At 45.5% G+C, this 20220-nt stretch overlaps 1 protein-coding gene and 1 pseudogene across 6 annotated transcripts in view; one reads left to right on the forward strand and one right to left on the reverse strand.

Annotated features, from left to right (window-relative positions):
* Nucleotides 1-2356: 2356 nt before the first annotated feature.
* The window catches only part of PAFAH2 (platelet activating factor acetylhydrolase 2), a 38297-nt gene continuing 20433 nt past the window's right edge, over nt 2357-20220 (reverse strand). For all 6 annotated transcript variants that reach the window (XM_047421701.1, NM_000437.4, XM_006710670.4 and 3 more), the window contains 4 exons: nt 19272-19363; nt 17070-17240; nt 15148-15302; nt 2357-4673 (listed from right to left, as the gene is read on the reverse strand). In XM_047421701.1, coding sequence (XP_047277657.1) covers nt 4579-4673; nt 15148-15302; nt 17070-17240; nt 19272-19363 — 513 coding nt within the window. In that variant the 3' untranslated portion in view covers nt 2357-4578. The remainder of the gene's footprint in view (nt 4674-15147; nt 15303-17069; nt 17241-19271; nt 19364-20220) is intronic.
* RNU6-110P (RNA, U6 small nuclear 110, pseudogene) lies at nt 6787-6890 on the forward strand (annotated as a pseudogene).

Consider the following 20220-nt stretch of genomic DNA (forward strand, 5'->3'; position numbering starts at 1 on the left):
CAGCACCCTCATTGTCACTGTGCCCTGCAGCTATGGCCAGGGACAGCTGCCCTCTGCACCTGGCTATGATGGGATAGAAAGTGAGCTTCCTAATGAGGATGAGTCCCAAACATACAGTATGGCCTCTCCTGTCCCTCTGTCACTTTGTGAGCCTAGGGATAAGTGGTGCTCCAGAAAAAAAGGGGGTAGATGAAGGTCCCCACAAGGTCAAGACACGGAGTTGGAATCCATCATTTGACATTTCAAGAGCCCAATAGAATTTTTGAGGAAGGACAAGAGGGGCAGCTGTGTCAGAATGCACAGTGGAAGGGGCTCGGGGATTGCATTAGGGACACAGCAAGAATCCAACCAGCCTTAGTCTGAAGTCCAGGAAGTGGAAGGGATATTTACTTACCTTCCTTCCTAACTGGCTTGCCATCCCATGCACAGAAACTTCACATTATACCACTAGGAGGCCTCCATAGGCACAGAGTCTTGCAGCGGGATGGGGAATGAGAAGATGCCAAAGAAACCCAAGACAGGCCGGGCGCGGTGGCTCATGCCTGTAATCCCAGCACTTTGGGAGGCCGAGGCGGGTGGATCACGAGGTCAGGAGATCAAGACCATCCTGGCTAACACAGTGAAACCCCGCCTCTACTAAAAAAAAAAAAAAAAAGAAAAGAAACCCAAGACATCCTCTTTCTGGAAAAGATTCACTAGGATGCAATTTATCAGCACATGTCAGTTATCATCAGGATTTCCTTGCTTATCTAAAGGCCATTTATGAAGTATCCTTCAGGCCCCTGGAAGCTAACCAAAAACCAGAATGAGAGACCAAAGGCCTTGTGATACCCCTTCTGGAGCAGTCAGAGGATTACGAAGCCCATGCGCTAAAGGTGACATACTTTAGCTGCAAGGGAGTCCCTAAAACCCTTGCTCACTGACTGCCTTGTTTTCCCTTAGACAGAGTTTTAAATAATGTGGCTGATTTATCAGTCCATTGCGCATCGAAAGTCATAAACTTGAAGTGGCCAGGGAGGGCTGCTAGGGGCTGGTGCGTTGAAGAGCGATGGTTGCAGCCTGACCACAAATGAGACAACACCAACTCTGAACAGCAACGCAGCACAGGGGGCAACCCCATGCAAGCCAAACAGCTTTCTGCACCTTCCTAGATCAGAGGACACCACTTCTCTGACATGAGACCTGGTCACAAATATTTTGGCTTTCTTGGGATGTTAGGAATGGCCACAGGACGTGCTTTGGCTTATGACACATGAATAGAAATAACGAGAGTCACTCCCGGGCAGAAGCTCTCAGAGCTAGCGGGTGATTCATCAGGCTTTCTTCCTGTTCCACCATGGTGAACAGCAACACTTTCTGATAATGGCAGCTCTACCAGCCTGGATCCTAGAGTGAGGATAAAAATGATGCAGAGCAGAGCCTGCAGCCGATCAAAGAGCACAAGTGGCATGGGCAAGAAATAAACTTTTGTTGCTTTTGGGATTGCCTGTTACCACCATACAACCTAGTCTATCCTGACTGGAACATCCTAAAAGGTTGAACGAGGTCAGCTCACTTTGATTAAAAAGTGTGTGTATTATCTTTTTGGTAGATTACCATTCAAAATAATCAATATTATATTTTGCTGCCTCTAGGATAATTTTCAATTATATGGAAAATTCACATACTCTAGTGTTTGCTGGATAAATGAGTGATTACCAGAACATGAATTGAATGAAGGAAAGGGATCTAGTTTCTGGAACACTCCCTTCACTAGGGAGGCTCCAGGTCTCTTGTTCATGGTTTTGTAAAATTTACCTGTGTTATTTATGGAGCTAAGGTAGAACCTGGGTCTCACATGCTGCTACTGCCAGAACCGGCCTCTCAGCATTTGTGGAATCAGCACAAGGGTGGCGTATGCTCAGGATTGGCCTACGGCTGGTTCTGCAAGTGCTGAGGGTCTCTGGTGCCCATGTGGTAGTTGGAAGGCCCCATTATATATCTGTCTGTGCTCTCATAGAAGGAAATCTATGGGCTCGGCACGGTGGCTCATGCCTGTAATCCCAGCCCTTTGGGAGGCCGAGGCAGGTGGATCATCTGAGGTCAGGAGTTTGCGACCAGCCTGACCAATATGGTGAAACCCCATCTCTACTAAAAAAATACAAAAATTAGCTGGGTGTGGTGGCGTGCACTTGTAGTCCCAGCTTCTCAGAAGGCTGAGACAGGAGAATTGCTTGAATCTGGGAGGCGAAGGTTGCAGTAAGCCGAGATCATGCTACTGCACTCCAGTCTGGGTGACAGAGTGAGACTGCATCTCAAAAAAAAAAGACAGAAATCTATGATGTGTTCTTGAGTAAAAGAGCAAGCCAACAACTTCTTCAGAATATATAGTCTTTTTAAACATACATGGCACATTTACAACATTGATCTCATACTAGGCCAACAACCAAGTTTCAACAAATTTTGAAGGATGGAAACCATATGGGTCATTTTCTCTGACCACAAAGCAATCAAGCTAGAAAAGAAACTATAACTAGAAAAATCTCATGTTTGGAAGGTAGGAAATATACTTTTAAGTAACCCATGGGTTATACATCCTCTCACTTAATCCTCCTAACTATTCATAACGCAGACCCTCATTTTAGAAACGCAGGAGCTGAGATAAGAAAGAGAATACCATTTGCTCAAATTTACCCAGTTGGCAGTGGTGGAGCCAGGACTCAAAACCAGGCTCTGTAACTTTAGAGCCCAGGGCTTTAATGATACCCTTCTTATGCTATGTCTCATGGGAATTCAAAGATCCTCCCTCACAGCCTCAACGATCTGCTGTTTCACCTCTTAGAATGGCCAGTCACTGACAGGTGGAGATCTAGGCCCAGCTTGCTCTGGTGGCCCTGACCATGGGCCATTGTGTAGAGATGCATTTCCCTTTTGCTCTTACCTACTTGGACTGAGGCACGAAGTCTTGAGTAGTGGAGAAGAGAGTTTCAGTTTGATGCCCCCAAATAGCTTTGAACTGGATCCCTAAGAAGACTTCCTTCCTTTTAAAGTTTTTTTCCCACATGGGCCCAAGTAGTAAGCGAACACAGAAGAAAGACAGAAGGAAGTCAATTCCAGATGGCTCTCCATCTTGCTCTACTGCAGATTAAACAGAAAATTCCAACATAACATTAAGCAAACAAGAGTATTAATATCATTCATATTATAAACAGAACAGAATGGAAATTCAGTCTGTATCTGACTTAAATTTGGGGCAAGGGCCTCAGAGCCAGAAAACAGACAATAAAAGCACCCTGATTCTGAGCAAGTTGGAGGTTTATAATATTTGAGGCAAGAAAAAATGACCAAGGTACTCCTAGGCCTCTCTGGGAGTGGCCTTCTGCGTTTTTAAATTTTATTTATTTTAAATTTTTCTTTTTCTTTTTTTTTTTTTTAAGACAGAGTCTTGCTCTGTCACCCAGGCTGGAGTGCAGTGGCGCGATCTTGACTCACTGCAACCTCCGCCTCCTAGGTTCAAGTGATTCTTCTGCTTCAGCCTCCTGAGTAGCTGGGATTATAGGCGCCTGCCATTACGCCAGGCTAATTTTTTGTATTTTTAGTAGAGACGGGGTTTCACCATGTTGGCCAGGTGGTCTTGAACTCCTGGCCTTAAGTGATCTGCCTGCCTTGGCCTCCCAAAGTGTTGGGATTACAGGCATGAGCCACCACGCCCAGCCTTCTTTATTTTTAAGATGGGGTCTCGCTCTACTGTCCAGGCTGCAGCTGAGTTTTAGCTGACCAAACTACTTCTCTGTTGTGGCAAAGGCCTGTGCAAATGGCCATTTAACACTGTTGTTCTGTCATCTTCCCCATCTCAACCTGCTTTTGTTGTTTCCTATCAAGATACACTTAGCAAAACCCCCAAAGACATCCAGAGCTTCTGAGGTACCTCTGTGTACCTCAGTTTTTCTCCCTGTGCTGTGAGAGCCATGCTGTCTGCCACTCTGTGGGCTCACAAGTATAACTTACTACTGTAAGTATAAGTAGTACTATGTTCCATACAATGAGAAGACTTGGAAATAAATAGAAAATGTGATCACGGCTCACACCTAGAAATTTACATAAAGTGCTCAGACTTCAACAAGTGGCCCTGGGGAGGGAGAAGGCTGAGAGGTAGGAAGAGATGGTGTTGGGCTGGGCTAGAGTCTCTGAAGGTAGGGATTTTCATTCTGTCCTTTGGCTTCATCTCTTCCACTGAAGCAGCAGCACTGGCCGGGGGTAAGGGAATGAGCTTCGCTGGGCTGAGTCTTCACATCCAGGCCTCACAGTGCTCAGCCCGGGGCCTGGGTCTCCCCCAGTCCCACTCTACTGCTTGTTCCCCACTCCATCAAGGTCCCAGAAAGTCTGTTTGTCAATCAGCAAGGGATCCCAGTCCCAAAGTGATTTTAAGATCAAATCTAAGATCAAAGTACCCAGTTATCCAAGCAGCAGTGTGATTACACCTTTCAATCTGTGAAAAGGGGTCACGTTGATCACTTCTTGATAGGAGCTCATGGGTGCCCTTGGGTAGCTCCCAAATGAAAACTTGGCTGAAGTGACTTTACAAATGGCCAGTTGTGCCTACAGGCTGGACAGATGGTGGGGGGCCCCTGGGGTGAGCGACGGTCCAATGCCTTCAATAAGGTTGTTCCATTGATTATAGTCTTCTTTCAGGTCTGAAAAGGAAAAAAACAGGAACATTAGGCAAATCATTGTGAGGTTTGGTCAAAGAGTAGCTGACATGCATTGAAGGGGTCATCCTAGAGAGAGGAGCGCCTGGGATACCAAAAGGACTGGTTTTGGTGGGGTTGTGTGGTGGTGGCGGTAACGATAACTATCATTTATTCAGTGCCTTTATAAATGACTTACATAATCCATAACAATTCAATAACGATAATAATAACAGAGGGTAACATTTATTGATGGAGAATTCATTCTAAGGATTGTACTAAATGCTTTACATTCATGGTTTCATTTAATTTTCACCATATCCCTATGAACTAAGTATTAATACTAATCTTATTATGTAATTCAGGAAACTGAGGATCAGGGAAGCTACCTGAGTTGCCCAAGGTCATTAGAGCTATTAAGTGGTAGAGACAGAATTCAAATCCAAGTCAGAAAGGCAGAGAGGGCTGGGCATGGTGGCTTATGCCTGTAACCCTAGTGCTTTGGGAGGCTGAGGCAAGAGGATCACTTGAGGCTAGGAGTTCCTAGACCAGCCTGGGCAACGTAGCAAGACCTCAACTCTACAAAAAAATTAAGAAATTAGCTAGGTATGGTGGTGTGTGCCTGAAGTCCTACCTACTCAGGAGGCCAAGACTGGAGGATTGCTTGAGGCAAGGAGTTGGCGGCAGTGAGCTGTGATAATGCCACTGCACTCCAACCTGGGCAACAGCAAGACCATGTCTCAGAAAAAAAAAAAAAAAGGCTGAGAAAATGAAAAGTCTAGTTCCAGGCTCAAGGAGGTTACTAGGCAAAAAGCAGTATCTGACAGCTCAGCCTGTGGGTGCAAATCCAGGACCACTTCAGTGAAGGGCAGGAGCAAGAGGACAGCAACATCATGGAGCAGCGAAACTCCAGGAATGACTCAAGAAGGGGCCCTGAGCTCACAGCCAATAGGGGTAACTACACGGCAAGAACAGGCACAAAGGGTCCAAGCCCTCAGGCTGAGGGAGCAGGGCAAGCTAAGCAGATGAATGGTGTCCTTCCTCAAAACAAACAGACTCTGGGACAGAAGGCAGGGACCACTCTCATGCATTTTTGGATTCCCAGTGCCCTGCCAGGAACCTGGCACGGAATAGGTCCTCAATGTATAAGTACTACATAGTCATTAATTCAAAAAACAATAAGCACATCCACTATGTGCCACACTCTGTTCTTTGAGCTAAAAATATATCCACAAACAAAACAGATGGAAACTGCTGTCCTCACAGAGCTCATCATCTAGTGGCAGAGACAAACAATAAACATAATAACTATATAGGATGTGAAAAGGGGAGAGGTGCCATGGAAAAAAAATAGAGCCCGTTAAGGGAAGCACTGGTGGTGGCCAGGGGTTGGAGTGAAGGGAGAAAGGAAGGACCCAATGTTTTTTGTTTGTTTGTTTTTTCTTTGAGATGGAGTCTTGCTCTGTCACCAGGCTGGAGTGCAGTGGTCAATCTCGGCTCAACGCAACCTCTGCCTCCCAGGTTCAAGTGATTCTCCTGCCTCAGCCTCCTAAGTAGCTGGGACTACAGGCATGCACCACCACACCCAGCTAATTTTGTATTTTTAGTAGAGACGAGGTTTCACCATGTCGGCCAGGACGGTCTCGATCTCTTGACCTTGTGATCCGCCCGCCTCGGCCTCCCAAAGTGTTGGGATTACAGGCGTGAGCCACGGTGCCTGGCCAGGCCAATGTTTTAAAAAGGGTGGTCAGGGTGGGCCTCACTGAGAAGGTGAGATTTGAGGCCAGGCTTGAAGGAAGTGGGAGTGTGCCACGAGACTATCTGAGAGGAATGTTCTAGACAGAGGGAGGAGCAGTGCAAAGGCCCTAAGGCTGCAGCGTGCCTGGCGCGTTCGAGGCTCATGTGGTGAGAGTGAAGTGAGCCAAGGGAAGAACAGCAGGGGAGGAGGCCAGGAGGGACTGGAGGGCCACATGACATATACCTGGCAGGATAATCGAGTCTGGCTTTGGCTCTTAGGGAGACTGGGAGCCACTGGAGAATTCGGAGCAGAAGAGTGAGAAGATCTCACTAAATTCCTAAAAGGATCACTCTGGCTGCTCTATGAAGAAAAGACTCTTCAGTGCTCGCTTTGGCAGCACATATACTAAAACTGGAACAATACAGAGATGAGCACGGCGCTTGCACAAGGATGACATGCAAATTCGTTAAGCTTTCCATATTTTTAAAGAGAAATAAATAATAATACCATGATTGAGGAAGCCAAAATAATAAATAAATAAATAAAATGACTCTTCAGTAAAGTTTCAGGATACAAAGTTGGTGTACAAAAATCAGTGGTGGTGATTTTTCTGGGTGCACTGGCTCATGCCTATAACACCAGCACTTTGGGAGGCTGAGGCAGGAGGATCGCCTGAGCCCAGGAGTTTGAGACCAGCCCAGGCAATAAAGTGAGACACTGTCTCTATAAAAAACAAATGAAGAAACAAACAAAAATATCAGTAGCATTTCTATACACCAATAACAATCAAGCTGAGAACCCAATCATAAACTCAATCCCATTTGTAATGGCCACCAAAACAAAAACAAAAACAAGAACAAAACAAAACAAAACCTAGGAATACATTTAACCAAGGAGGTGAAAGATCTCTACAAAGAGAGCTACAAAATACTGATGAAAGAAATTGTAGATGACACAAACAAATGGAAAAAACATCCCACACTCATGGAATGGAAGAATCAATGTTGTTAAAAATGACCATAATGCTCAAAGCAATTTACAGATTCAACGCAATTCCTATTAAACTACCAACGCCATTTTTTACAGAATTAGAAAAAAAGTCCTCAAATTCATATGGAACCAAAAAAGAGCCTGTCAAAGCAACCTTAAGCAAAAAGAACAAAGCTGGAGGCATCACATGACCCAACTTCAAATTATACTACAAGGTTATAGTAACCAAAAGAGCATGTTACTTGTATAAACACAGAAAAATAGATAAATGAAACAGAATAGAGAACCCAGAAATAAAGCCCCCATACCTACAACCAACTGATCTTTGTCAAAGTCAACAAAAATATATACATGGGGAAAAGATACCCTATTCAACAAATGGTGCTGGAAAAATTGGATAGCCATATGAAGAAGAATGAAACAGGACCCATATCTCTCAGCATATATAAAAATTAACTCAAGATGGATTAAAGACTTAAACATAAGACTTGAAACTATAAAAATCCTAGAAGAAAAACTCTTCTGGACATTGGCTCACGCAAAGAATTCGTCCTTAAAAGCAAATGCAACAAAACCAAAAACAGACAAATGAGACTGAATTAAACTAAAAAGCTTATGTACCACAAAAGAAACAATCAACAGAGTAAATAGACAACCTACAGAATGGAAGAAAATATTTCTGAACTATATATCCAACAAAGGGCTAATATCCAGAATCTATAAGGAAAGGCTGGGCATGGTGGCTCACGCCTGTAACGCCAGCACTTTGGGAGGCCAAGGCTGGTGGATCACTTGAGGTCAGGAGTTTGAGACCAGTCTGGCTAACATGGTGAAACCCTGTCTCTATTAAAAATACGAAAAAATCAGCCAGGCATGGTGGCGGGCACCTGTAATCCCAGCTACTCAGGAGGCTGAGGTAGGAGAATCACTTGAACCTGGGGGGCAGAGGTCACAGTAAGCCGAGATCACACCACTGCACTCCAGCCTGGGTGACAGAGCAAGACTTTGTCTCAAAAAAAAAAAAAAAAAAAAAAAAAAAGAATCTACAAGGAACTCAAACAACTCAACAAGAAAAAAAAAAACACATAATCCCATTAAAAAGTAGGCATTCTGCAGAAACTGGACTCAAAAAAAGAAAAAAGTGGACAAAGGACATGAATAGACATTTTTTTCAAAAGAAGACATACAAGTGTCCCACAAACATATTTAAAAAAAAAAGTTCAACATCACTAACCGTCAGAGAAATGCAAATTAAAACCACAATGAGATACTACACCAGTCAGAATGGCCATTATTAAAAAGTCCAGAAACAATAAATGCTGGTGAGGATGCAGAGAAAGGGAACACTTATGCACCGTTGGTAGGAATGTAAATTAGTACAACTTCCATGGAAAACGGTATGGAGATCCCTCAGAGAACTAAAAATAGAACTACCATTTGATCCAGCAATCCCACTACTGGCTATCTACCCAAAGGGAAAGAAATCATTACACCAGAAAGACACCTGCACACATATGTTTATCACAGCACTAGCCACAATAGCAAAGATATGGAATCACCCTAAGTGCCCATCAACAGAAGATCTGATAAAGAAAATGTGGTGTACAGATATACCATGGGATACTACTCAGTTATAAAAAAAGAACGAAATCACGTTTTGCAGAACCGCAGGCCATTATCCCAGGTGAAATAACTCAGAAACAGAAAGTCAAATACCGAATGCTGTACCGAATGCTGTCACTTATAAGTGGGAGCTAAATGATGGGTACACATGGACATACAGAGTAGAAAAATAAGACACTGGAGACTCCAAAAGGTGGGCAGGTAGGAGAGGGGTGAGGGCTGAAAAATTACCTACTGGATACAATGTTCACTATTCGGGTGATGGGTACACTAAAAGCCCAGACTTTACCACGTGCAATATAGCTGTGTAAGAAAATTGCACTTGTACCCCCTACATCTATACAAATAAACCCAGCACTTTGGGAGGCCAACACAGGCAGATCACAAGGTCAGGAGATCAAGACCATCCTGGCTAACATGGCGAAACTCCATCTCTACTAAAAATACAAAAAAATTAGTCGGGCCTGGTGGTGGGCGCCTGTAGTCCCAGCTACTCGGGAGGCTGAGGCAGGAGAATGGCGTGAACCTGGGAGGCGGAGCTTGCAGTGAGCCGAGATCGCGCCACTGCACTCCAGTCTGGGCGACAGAGTGAGACGCCTTCTCAAAAAAAAAAAAAAAAAAAGACTGTGAAGAGAGGGACTGGCAAGGGTGGTAGTGAGGAGACCAGTTAGGAAACCACTGCACTAATTTGGATGAGAGATGATTTGGACAGGATGGTAGCTGTGGGGTGGTGACAAGTGATTCAATTCCATGTGTATTTTGAAGGTAGAGCCAATAGGATTGTTTGAGGGACTGGGTAGGAGGCATGAGAGAAGAGACAAGGATGAAGACTTTGACCTGAGTAACTAGAAGGATGGAGCTACGATTAACGAAGAAGGAAAAGAGTGCAGTTGAAATTGGTTTTGTTTGTTACTTCTATTAGATGACTAAGTAGAGTTGGGGAGCAGTGGCAGAGGGAGTCCCCAGCATGGAGTTGGCACGGAAAGCCATTAGAAGAGGTCCAGGCACTGGGCCCCGCAAGCAGCACAGCAGATGGAAGAGGCCCAAACATGGAGATAGGGGGAAGTCCACAGTGTGGATCTCTGAAGTGAAGATGGGGGTTTCCCAGAGGAGGGGGCCATCAACTTTATCAGAAGCTGCAGAGAGTTCCAGAAGTTGGGGAATGAGAACTACTGGAGCTAGCATTGTGAAGGTCACTGGGCACCCTGACAATAGCGGTTTTGATGGAGTACTGTGATGCAAAAGCCTGGAGTGGGTTAAGAGGGAATGGGAAGAGAGGAATTAGAAAAAGCGAAAGCAGACATTCTTTTGAGTTTTGCTGTGATGGGGAACAGGGAGATGGGTGGCAACTGCAGGGGATATTGAGGTCAAGAGAAAGTTATTTTTTTCTAGGAGAAACTTCAGCATGAAATGAACCAGCAGAGAGGGAAAAATTGATGATCTAAAGTAAAGAGGGGCTGGGCATGGTAGCTCACGCCTGTAATCCCAGCACTTTGGGTGGCCGAGGTGGGCGGATGACTTGAGGTCAAGAGTTTGAGTCCAGCCTGGCCAACATGGCAAAACTCCATCTCTACTAAAAATGCAAAAATTAGCTGGGCATGGTGGTGGGTGCCTGTAATCCCAGCTACTCGGGAGGCTGAGGCAGGAGAATTGCTTGAACCTGGGAGCAGAGGTTGCAGTGAGCTGAGATGGCAGCTACTGCCTTCCAGCCTGGGTGACAGAGTGAGACTCTGTCCTAAATAAATAAATAAATAAATAAATAAAATAAAGAGGGAAAAATCACTGGCGCAATCATGTTGAGCAGACAGAAGAGGATGGAATCTTGTGTTGGGGGGTTGGCCTTAATGAGGCAACTGAGGTGGGAACTCTAGTAACCGAAAGGAAAGCTGATTATACACAGGAAGGTGGGGAGAGGTGGTGTTGGGAGTCTGAGGAAGTGCTGGTTGCTTCCATTTTCTTGGTGAAGTGGGAGGCAAAGTTAACTGAGAGACAGGATAAGGGAAGAGGTGTGAGAGGTTCGAGGAGAAAAAAGGTGTGAAATAGTCTTCCAGGAGAGTGGGAGAGGAGAGTAGGTGGAGACAGGAGCTGCATGGAGTTAATATGAAGGAAGCACCAGTCTTCATAGAAGATCATATCCCCAGAACAGCCAAACAAGTGCTCTCAGAAGGAATTTTTTTCAGAGTGAGAGGTTCAGCTGAGCCACTTACAGCCTATTTTAGTTTCCCATGTGACAATGTACTGTGTGCCTACTAAAAGCTTTTCTCTCTTTGTAAAGCTAATTTGCCCAAGCCCACAGCCTTGGCCTTTTTCTTTTCTTTTGAGACAGGGTCTCACTGTGTTACCCAGGGTGGAGTGCAGTGGCACAATCACAGCTCACTGCAGCTTCAACCTCCTAGGCTCAAGCAATCCTCCTGCCTCAGCCTCCTAAAATGCTGGGATTATAGACGTGAGCCACTGTGCCCAACTTTTTCAGACTGTCTTATCTCTTATCACTCGGATTACTGCAAAAGCCTCCTACCTAAGAGCTCCCTGCCTCTCACCTTGCCCCATCCTCCACAATGCACCAGACTGTGAACACAAGTCTAATCACAACATTCACCTGCTTAGAACTCACCAGGGGCTCCTGACAGCCTGTGGAATAACATTCAAACTCACTTCAGCAAATCCATAGGCTTCTTCCTCTGGCTTCTGCCCACTTCTCTATCTTTGCCTTTCAACAATTCACTCTCCTGAGCTCCAGATACACTAAACACAGTTTCCCAATCCTGACCAGGCCCACTCAAGCATTTATGCCTTCTGTCCAGAAGACCCTCGCCCTTTCCTGCCTGTGAACCCTCCACTAAGATTAAAGGCAAACATTGTGTTGTCAAGGAAGCCCCCTTTCCTAGCTGTTCTTCCTCTCCTGTCAAAGTTAGGAGACTGTCCTCCGTGTGGACAGTCTAAAGACTGAGTGCCTACTGTGGCCATGGAACTTATCACTCTGAATTGTCACCAGAGTCACCGCCAGCATAGTGAAGTGACTAAGGGCATGGGCCTTGGAATTGGCCAGTCTAGGTTACATATTGGCTTTGCCACTTGATAACCAGATAACCTTAAAGAAATTACTTAAATTTCCTACGCTTTGGTATCCTCCCCTGTAAAATGCAGTTAATAATAAAGGTATCTACTGGAAAGGGCTGTCTCTAGAATTACACGCGATAAAGCAGGAGCAGAAGGCCTGGCATAAAGTAAGTCCTCAAAAATCTTCTTTCAGTCTAAGTGCCTCCTACCTCCCATTTCCATGTCTGCTAGCAGGTTTCTAACAGTGAGTATCTTAGCTCAACGGGTATTGCTTTTAAAGGGAGCCCAATCGTGCCATGGTGGGCTTCCCATCATCTTTCATCTTAAGCTTTTATAATGACATGGTGCCTATGAGGGGACAGGGGAAGGGGGCTGAGGACCAGGCAGTCAGGCGCCATTAAAGTCTTGAGACATGGGTCCATTCCCTGCTTGCCAGGTGATAAGAATGATGCCCTAAAATCTCTTATTGACCCTAAGGTCTCCAAACACAGGCTGGAATCAAGGCTCACGATGTGTAAGATGAAACGAACAGGCAGAAATATAAAAATGAAAATTTACTTCCAAAAAGTCAATAAATGCGTAAGACAGATGTGTTTTAAATGCAAACTCAATCCAGGCTGTTTGTTGTGCACTTGTGAGGAATGTGAATGCACTCAGGTCATCCAACTAAAAGGCTAGTGTCCAGAGCACAGAGACGGCCAGGCGCGATGGCTCACACCTGTAATCCCAGCACTTTGGGAGGCCGAGGCAGGTGGATCACTGGAGGTTAGGAGTTCGAGACCAGCCAGGCCAACATGGTGAAACCCTGTCTCTACTAAAAATACAAAAAGTAGCTGGGTGTGGTGGCACATGCCTGTAGTCCCAGCTACTTGGGAGGCTGTGGCAGGAGAACTGCCGGAGAATCGCTTGAACCCAGGAGGTTGAGGTTGCAGTGAGCTGAGATCACACCACTGCACTCCAGCCTGAGAGACAGAGTGAGACTCCGTCTCAAACAAAACAAAACAAAACAAAAAACAGAGCACAGAAGAGACTGTCCAGGATGGCACCGGTCAGACCACATCTAATACATTATAGTCAAGTCAGGGCACCACAGTTTATCTATTTATTTTATTTTTTGGAGACGGTATCACTCTGTTGCCCAGGCTGGAGTGCAATGGCATGATCTTGGCTCACTGCAGTCTTGACCTCCCAGGCTCAAGTGATCCTTCCACCCCAGCCTCCCGAGTAGCTGGGACTATAGGCACATGCCACCATACCTGGCTAATTTTATTTATTTTTTTGCTGAGATGGGGTCTCACTATGTTGCACAGGCTGGTCTCAAACCCGTGGCCTCAAGCAATCCTCCCATCTCAGCCTCCCAAAGTAGCTGGGATTACAGATGTTGAGCTACCACACCCGGCCAGGGCACTACACTTTAGAAGGGGCACCAAAAAACAGCGACTCCAAAGGAAGGGGATAACAAATAGCAACATGGGGAATTGAACCGGGACAGGTGGAGGTACCACGAACATTTAGTTTAATAAACAGAACACTCAGAGAAGACTAGCATAGGTGACTTCAAATATCTAGGGAACTGCCAGGTGCCGTCTGAGGCTTCTATGGGTAGCTCTTGAGGGGTTAACCTGGGCAAGTAGAGGAGGGTTACAAACTAGGAGATCTTGCTCTTAGGTTAGAGTTAAGTCAAACCTTTGAAATTCAGACAAGCCTGGCTCCTTTCTCATGGAAACTGCCCTGCACACAGCACCTGCTGAGGGATCAGAAAGGGACCTCTGATGCAGAGAGCTCAGAGCCTAGCTGGGACGGGGCTACAGTGTGTTCTGGTGGGCAAAGAGGAGCTGATACAATCAAATTGCCTCTCTTGGAAATCTGTTCAAAGAAATCCAAAAAAATATGGCAGTGAGCAGTGGGAGCTGAAGATGAAAGGATGCCGCAAGCTAAAGGGAACACACTCTGAGTGGTTCAAGCCGAGTGAAGTTATGAGGAAGCAGAAATGGAATAAACAGCTGCTATCAGTGAGAGAAAAACCACAGAGCAGAAAAAAAAATGCATAACGGAACAAAGAAAAAGAGATGTCGTGAGAGGAAGACACAGAGAGACTGAACCCATGAGACAGACGGAAAGAAAAGTCAGTCCTGCCAGCCACCCTGATTTCTATAACTGCACTCCCACCCAGTCCAGGTGCACTCTCATAAACAAACTCCCCTTTTTTTCTCAAGCTAAGTTTGTGAACCTCTAGTCTTTGTAACCAATAAAGCTTAATAAGAGGATGCCTCCTCTGGGTGGAAGCTGGACCATGGACCTCTGCAGGCCTCGCCCTTTAGCTGCTCTATGACTGATGACATTATTCATAGTCCTTCCATGCTTTGTTTCTTTAAAACACTTCCATAAATTTAGCCCGTTATCCTCATAAACTCCCCTACAATGCAGATAAGGTGGGCAATAATGAGTCTGGGTAAGGAGAGAGGTGGTGGAGTAGAGAGAGGTGAATACTCCATTTACAGGGAGGAAACCAAGGTTCAGAGAGGTTAAATGACTAGGCCAGGTCATTCTGCAAGTAAGATAGTCAGGATCTCCAAACTTTCAGTTAAGTATTTTTTCTTATTTATTTGTTTAATTATTTATTTAGAAACAAGGTCTTGCTCTGTTGCTCAGACTGGAGTTCAGTGGTGCAATCATGGCTCACTGCAGCCTAGACCTCCTAGGCTTAACTGATCCTCCCACCGTAGCCTCTCGAGTAGCTGGGACTATAGGTGTGTGCCACCACACCCAGCTAATTTTTTTTTTTTTTTGGTAAAGATAGAGTCTCACTATGTTGCTCAGACTGGTCTCGAACTCCTGGCCCCAAGCCATCCTCCCACCTCAACCCACCAAAGTGCTAGGATTACAGGCGTGAGCCACTGCACCTGGACTTGTTTTTTCTGTAATTCTATGTAAGTCTCTCCTTCACTCAGGTTTTCCATTTGCCATAAATCTCCTTCCCAGATCCCAGACATGTCAGAGTTCTCACTCTGCTGCAAGGAAATCTAAGGGACCCCACAGCTGCCCCAAGAGCCCCAGTTTTCTCCTTACCGAGGTGCTTCTGCAGGAAGGCCAACATGGCCCGTACCATAACCTCCTGCCCTTCATAGGGGTCCAGGCTCCCACGGGTTTCAGTGGAGAAGAATTTACCAATCAAGTTGCCAGTCACAAAAGCAAAGTCAGTTTGACTCCGATGAACAGAACCACTAGGGGAAAAGAAAAACAACTGGCAGGGGTCTGGCGGCTAGGGCATACAGATGTGTGTTAGGCACCTACTATGTGCAAGGTGCTTTTCATGTATTATCACACTTTATTTTCACAGCAACCTTGTAAGGGAAGTATTTTCCCCCTTGACAGAATCCAAGGAGAGAAACTATCTGCTTAGGGTCAGGTCATACAAGTAGTTGGGGATGGAGTTAGGATTTGAAGCCAGATGTGCTTGGCTTCAAAGCTGGCTTGACCCGTAGACTACAATGCCTGGCAGTGCAGGGAAAAGGTTGAGCTAGCAGGAGCAGGGACAGGAGCAAGGAGGTGGGATCTGTGGCACGTGGCATTTCTATGTTACTACAATCTATTAGCTGTGGCTTTTGCCTGGTGAATTTCAAACATTCACAAAACAAATGAAGTTATTCTTCAGAACTGTACCACAGAGTGAAGAGGGAAAAGGAATTACTTGCCTTTATTTAAACAATCAGAAAAGTAAGAGTGAGTGCTTTGTAAAAGGGGGTTTCTGGGTTGGAACTTAAGTCCTTTGGCAGAAAATAAATTTAATTTGCAGGTGAAATCCTTGCTAGGTTAATTTTGGGCTAAATTATTCATAACTGAATTTACTAGTCAATTCAGTGAGAGAAAGAGAATCTAAATGCTAAAGTATTTGTCTGATATCACAGAAAAACTGACTTTAAAAAATGCATTAGTTAAGGCACACAAAAAGGTGTATAGAATAATATATGGGATACTTGAGTATCCAGCACTCAGTTGAATAAACGATACATTGCCAGGCGTTAAGTCCCCTGAGTGTACCCCTTCCCAACTGGCCTCACCTCCTTTCCCTCCTGAATCTGACCTGGGGAAGCATTCAGGCAGTGTCTACTGCCATGAAACCTAACTGAACGAGGAGGGGTGGCCCTAGGAAAGAGGGCCAGGACCAAGATGAGCAAGGGAAGAAGCCACTGGCCATACTGCCGGCCCCAGTGCTCGAGGGCTCTGGATTTGGCACTTCAACTACCCAGTGACTCCAAAGGTCCATGGTATGCAGTCACTTGTCATTCTGCTGAAATAGGAACCAGATGGATCCCTGGATCCTGTGTGCCGCTGGGCTCAACTGCAGGGCAGGAGCAGTCCGTGAGATCTCAGCCCGACATCTGTGGCTCAATATCACCTCCCACATGTGGAACATTTCTTAAAGTCACTAAAAATGTTTTTTTCCCTGTGAAAAATGGCTCCCAAAAGAAAACTAACTGATAGTGCTGATGATGGAAGTGAAAAAATGTGGCTTCTCTTGACCAGAATATAGAAGGTTTATGGAAGACAACATATGTTAACAGTGATCTGTGATTCTGGTATTCATGAAGGTCTCTAGAAATGTGTCTGGTGAATATCAAAGGTCTACCATATTCACACTCTTCCAAAGACCCAATAAAATTCCCAAATGAGGCTAGCAATCTCTGGAACTCATCCAAACCCACACCACTTCCTTTCCAACACCCAACCCCATAATGCCCTTTTTCAGAAAGTACTAGGTAAATCCTGTCATAAAGTCAGATAAACTATGGAATAAATCACTGTAGATGGAGCTCAGTGGAGAAGAAGGACAGACAGAAAATTCTAAAAGAATTTAGACTTTGCAATTCAGGAAGTATTCAGGTATCCTACTAATGGGTAGAAAGTTTTGGGTAATCCAGAAGTTAAGGGCACCACAGCAAGTGGCAAATGGAGAGGGCCCTGGGATCACGACCTTGTGGTTTACTCACAGAACGGTTATGATCCTAGACTGTTCATGCTGGGCACATATCTTCTTCATCAAATTGACACTCTCCATTGTCTGGAATTTCTCAGTATTGATAAAGAACACAGGTCCTCGGGCCTTGGGGTAAAAGTCACGTTCCAGAGGAAACATCCAAGCATCCAGAGCCACCGCACACCTGGAATAGGACCAGACATTTGGAATTGCCATGCGGATCCCAGGCAAGAATAGTTAGGGTGGTGGAGGGAAGGGCGGAGTTCCTCCCTCTGGTGGGGTAAAGGCTCAGAAAGCCAGGAGGGGGGTACCAGGGCCCACGGCCTTCAGTCAGGATCTTAGGTAGGGATCACTTTTACTTTTCACCAAAGATCCTTCTAGATTTCAAACTCTCTGAGAACAAGGATCAGATATCCCTCTTCTCCTGGATCTACTCTCAGGTGACTGACCTGAGTTCCACAGAATGGCACTTCATTCATTTAATTATTCATTCATTCAACATTCATTGAGTGTCTACTATGTGCTTTGGATATAGACATAAATGAGTGTTCCTGCTTTCAAGGAGCTCCCAGTCCAGCAGGGAAGACAGAATAGACAAAGTGGCAAAACAATATAACTTAGTGCCCTGATTGCACAAGGTTCTATGTGAGGTCAGGAAAAGCCTCCTTGGTGCCAACAGCAAAACCATGTCACCAAGAGCAATATTATGGGCCTTAAGATTTTGCCATTTCCTTCCTCAGACCCCTGAAATGCTCCTCTATTCTTCTCCATCTCAATAAAGGACAATCATCTTCCACTCAAATAATAGATACACAAATGAAAAACCTTGGGCTGGGCATGGTGGTTCATCCCTGTAATCCCAGCACTTTGGGAGGCTGAGGCAGGAGGATCACTTGAGCCCAAGAGTTCAAGACCAGCCTGGGCAACATAGCAAGACACCATCTCTTAAAAAAAAAAATTAAAAAATTAGCAGGGCATGGTAGCATGTACCTGTAGTCCCAGCTATTTGAGAGGTTGAGGCATCACTTGAGCCCAGGAGGTTGAGGCTGCAGTGAGCTGATTGTACCACTGCACTCCAGCATAGGGCAACAGAGCAAGACCCTGTCTCAGAGGGAAAAAAATAAGAAGAAAAACCTGGATTTCCTCTCTTTCCTTCACCTCCCACATGACCAAATCCTGAAAACTCTAAGACATATCCTGACTCCAATCACTTCTCTCCATCCCACTATCTCAATCCTGATGTAAATTTATCATCTTTCACATTGACTCTGAAACAGAATCTCTCTAATGAGCCTCTAGGCTTTCAGTCTTGTCCTGCTACAATCCATTCTTCACATAGTAGCCAGAAGGATCTTTTAAAATGTAAGACTGATATTTCTCTGTTGAAAATCTTCAACAGTTTCCCATCATACGTAGAATAAAATATACACCTCCTTACCCTGGCCAGATGACCCTGTGATCTGGCCCCTGCTTCTCTCTCTGATCACAGCTTAAATTGCCTCCCCCTCACTCACTACGCTCCTCCCACCCTAACACAGCAAGCTTCTTTCCACTGCAGGGCCTTTGCATTAGCTATTCCTGCTGGCTGGAAAGATCTTCCTCTAGATCTTCACACGACTGGCTTCTTTGCCTTCCCAGTCTTGATTTCACTTTCTCAGAGACATATCAGCCTGTTTTCTTTTTTCTGTTTTTTTTGAGACAGGATCTTGCTCTATTGCCCAGGCTGAAGTGGTGCGGTCAGAGCTCACTGTAACCTGGAACTCCTGGGCTCAAGTGATCCTCCTGCCTCAGGCTTCAAAGTAGCCGGGACTACAGGCATGCACTATCACACTTGGCTGTTTTGTTTTTTTCAATTTTTTGTAGAGATGGGGTCTTGTGATGTTTCCTAGGCTGATCTCAAACTCCTGGCTTCAAGCAATCCTCCTGCCTCAGCCTCCCAAATCGCTGGGGTTACAGGAGTAAGCCAACATGCTCAGCTTTATTTTTCTTCATTGCACTTGGTCATGGGGATTTTATTATCGGTTGGCTTTTTCACTAGTCTGTCTCCTCCCACAATAATATAATCCCATGAAATCAGAGATCTTGTTTTCTTGTTTAACCGCTGAATCCTCAGTCCCTAAACAGTGCCAAGAATATAGTACTTGTGTAACAAATACTTTCTAAATGAATAAACGGTGTATGGAGCTAAGCACAGCAACACTACTAGGAAACTCACCGAAATTGGGTCTCCTTGGCCAAAGCCAGAATAGCTGTGGCCCCTCCAAATGAATGTCCCATCACAGCCACACGGCTCATGTCAATGTTGCCCTGAGGAAAGTGGAGAACTTAGCCAAGTCAGAAACTCAGGACTGCTTCTTTAGGAATTCATCAGGAGCAAGAGGAAGAAATAGTGAGGCAATGAGGCCAAAGGCACAATACAGCAAGTGAGTCCACCAACACCACACTGTCAAGAATCTCTTACCTATGGAAGGGGCAACAGTCAAGCAATCCTTAGACTGAACAGCCTTGTGTAGGCAGGAATTGTGAGAATCACACTTTTCATGTTTACTTTTTTTTTTTTTTTTTTTTTTTTTTGAGACGGAGTCTCGCTCTGTCGCCCAGGCTGGAGTGCAGTGGCGCGATCTCGGCTCACTGCAAGCTCCGCCTCCCGGGTTCACGCCATTCTCCTGCCTCAGCCTCCCGAGTAGCTGGGACTACAGGCGCCCGCTACCACGCCCGGCTAATTTTTTGTATTTTTAGTAGAGACGGGGTCTCGATCTCCTGACCTCGTGATCCGCCCGCCTCGGCCTCCCAAAGTGCTGGGATTACAGGCGTGAGCCACCGCGCCCGGCTCATGTTTACTTTTGTAATCTCACCACCTAACAATAGTGGACCAGGGCAGACATTCAAATATCTATGAATAGGCCGGGTGTGGTGGCTCACACCTGTAATCCCAACACTCTGGGAAGCCAAGGCGGGCGGATTGCTTGAGCTTAGGAGTTTGAGACCAGCCAGGGCTCAAACACAGCAAAACCTTCTCTTTACAAAAAAGTACAAAAATTAGCTGGGCATGGTGGCGTGCAAGTATGGTCCCAGCTACTCAGGAGGCTGAGGTGAGAGGATCGCTTGAGCTCAGGAGGTTGAGGCTGCAGTGAGCCATGATTGCACCACTGCATTCCAGCCTG

Source organism: Homo sapiens, chromosome 1 (genome assembly GCF_000001405.40).
Source record: "Homo sapiens chromosome 1, GRCh38.p14 Primary Assembly".
NCBI classification, from domain to species: domain Eukaryota; kingdom Metazoa; phylum Chordata; class Mammalia; order Primates; family Hominidae; genus Homo; species Homo sapiens.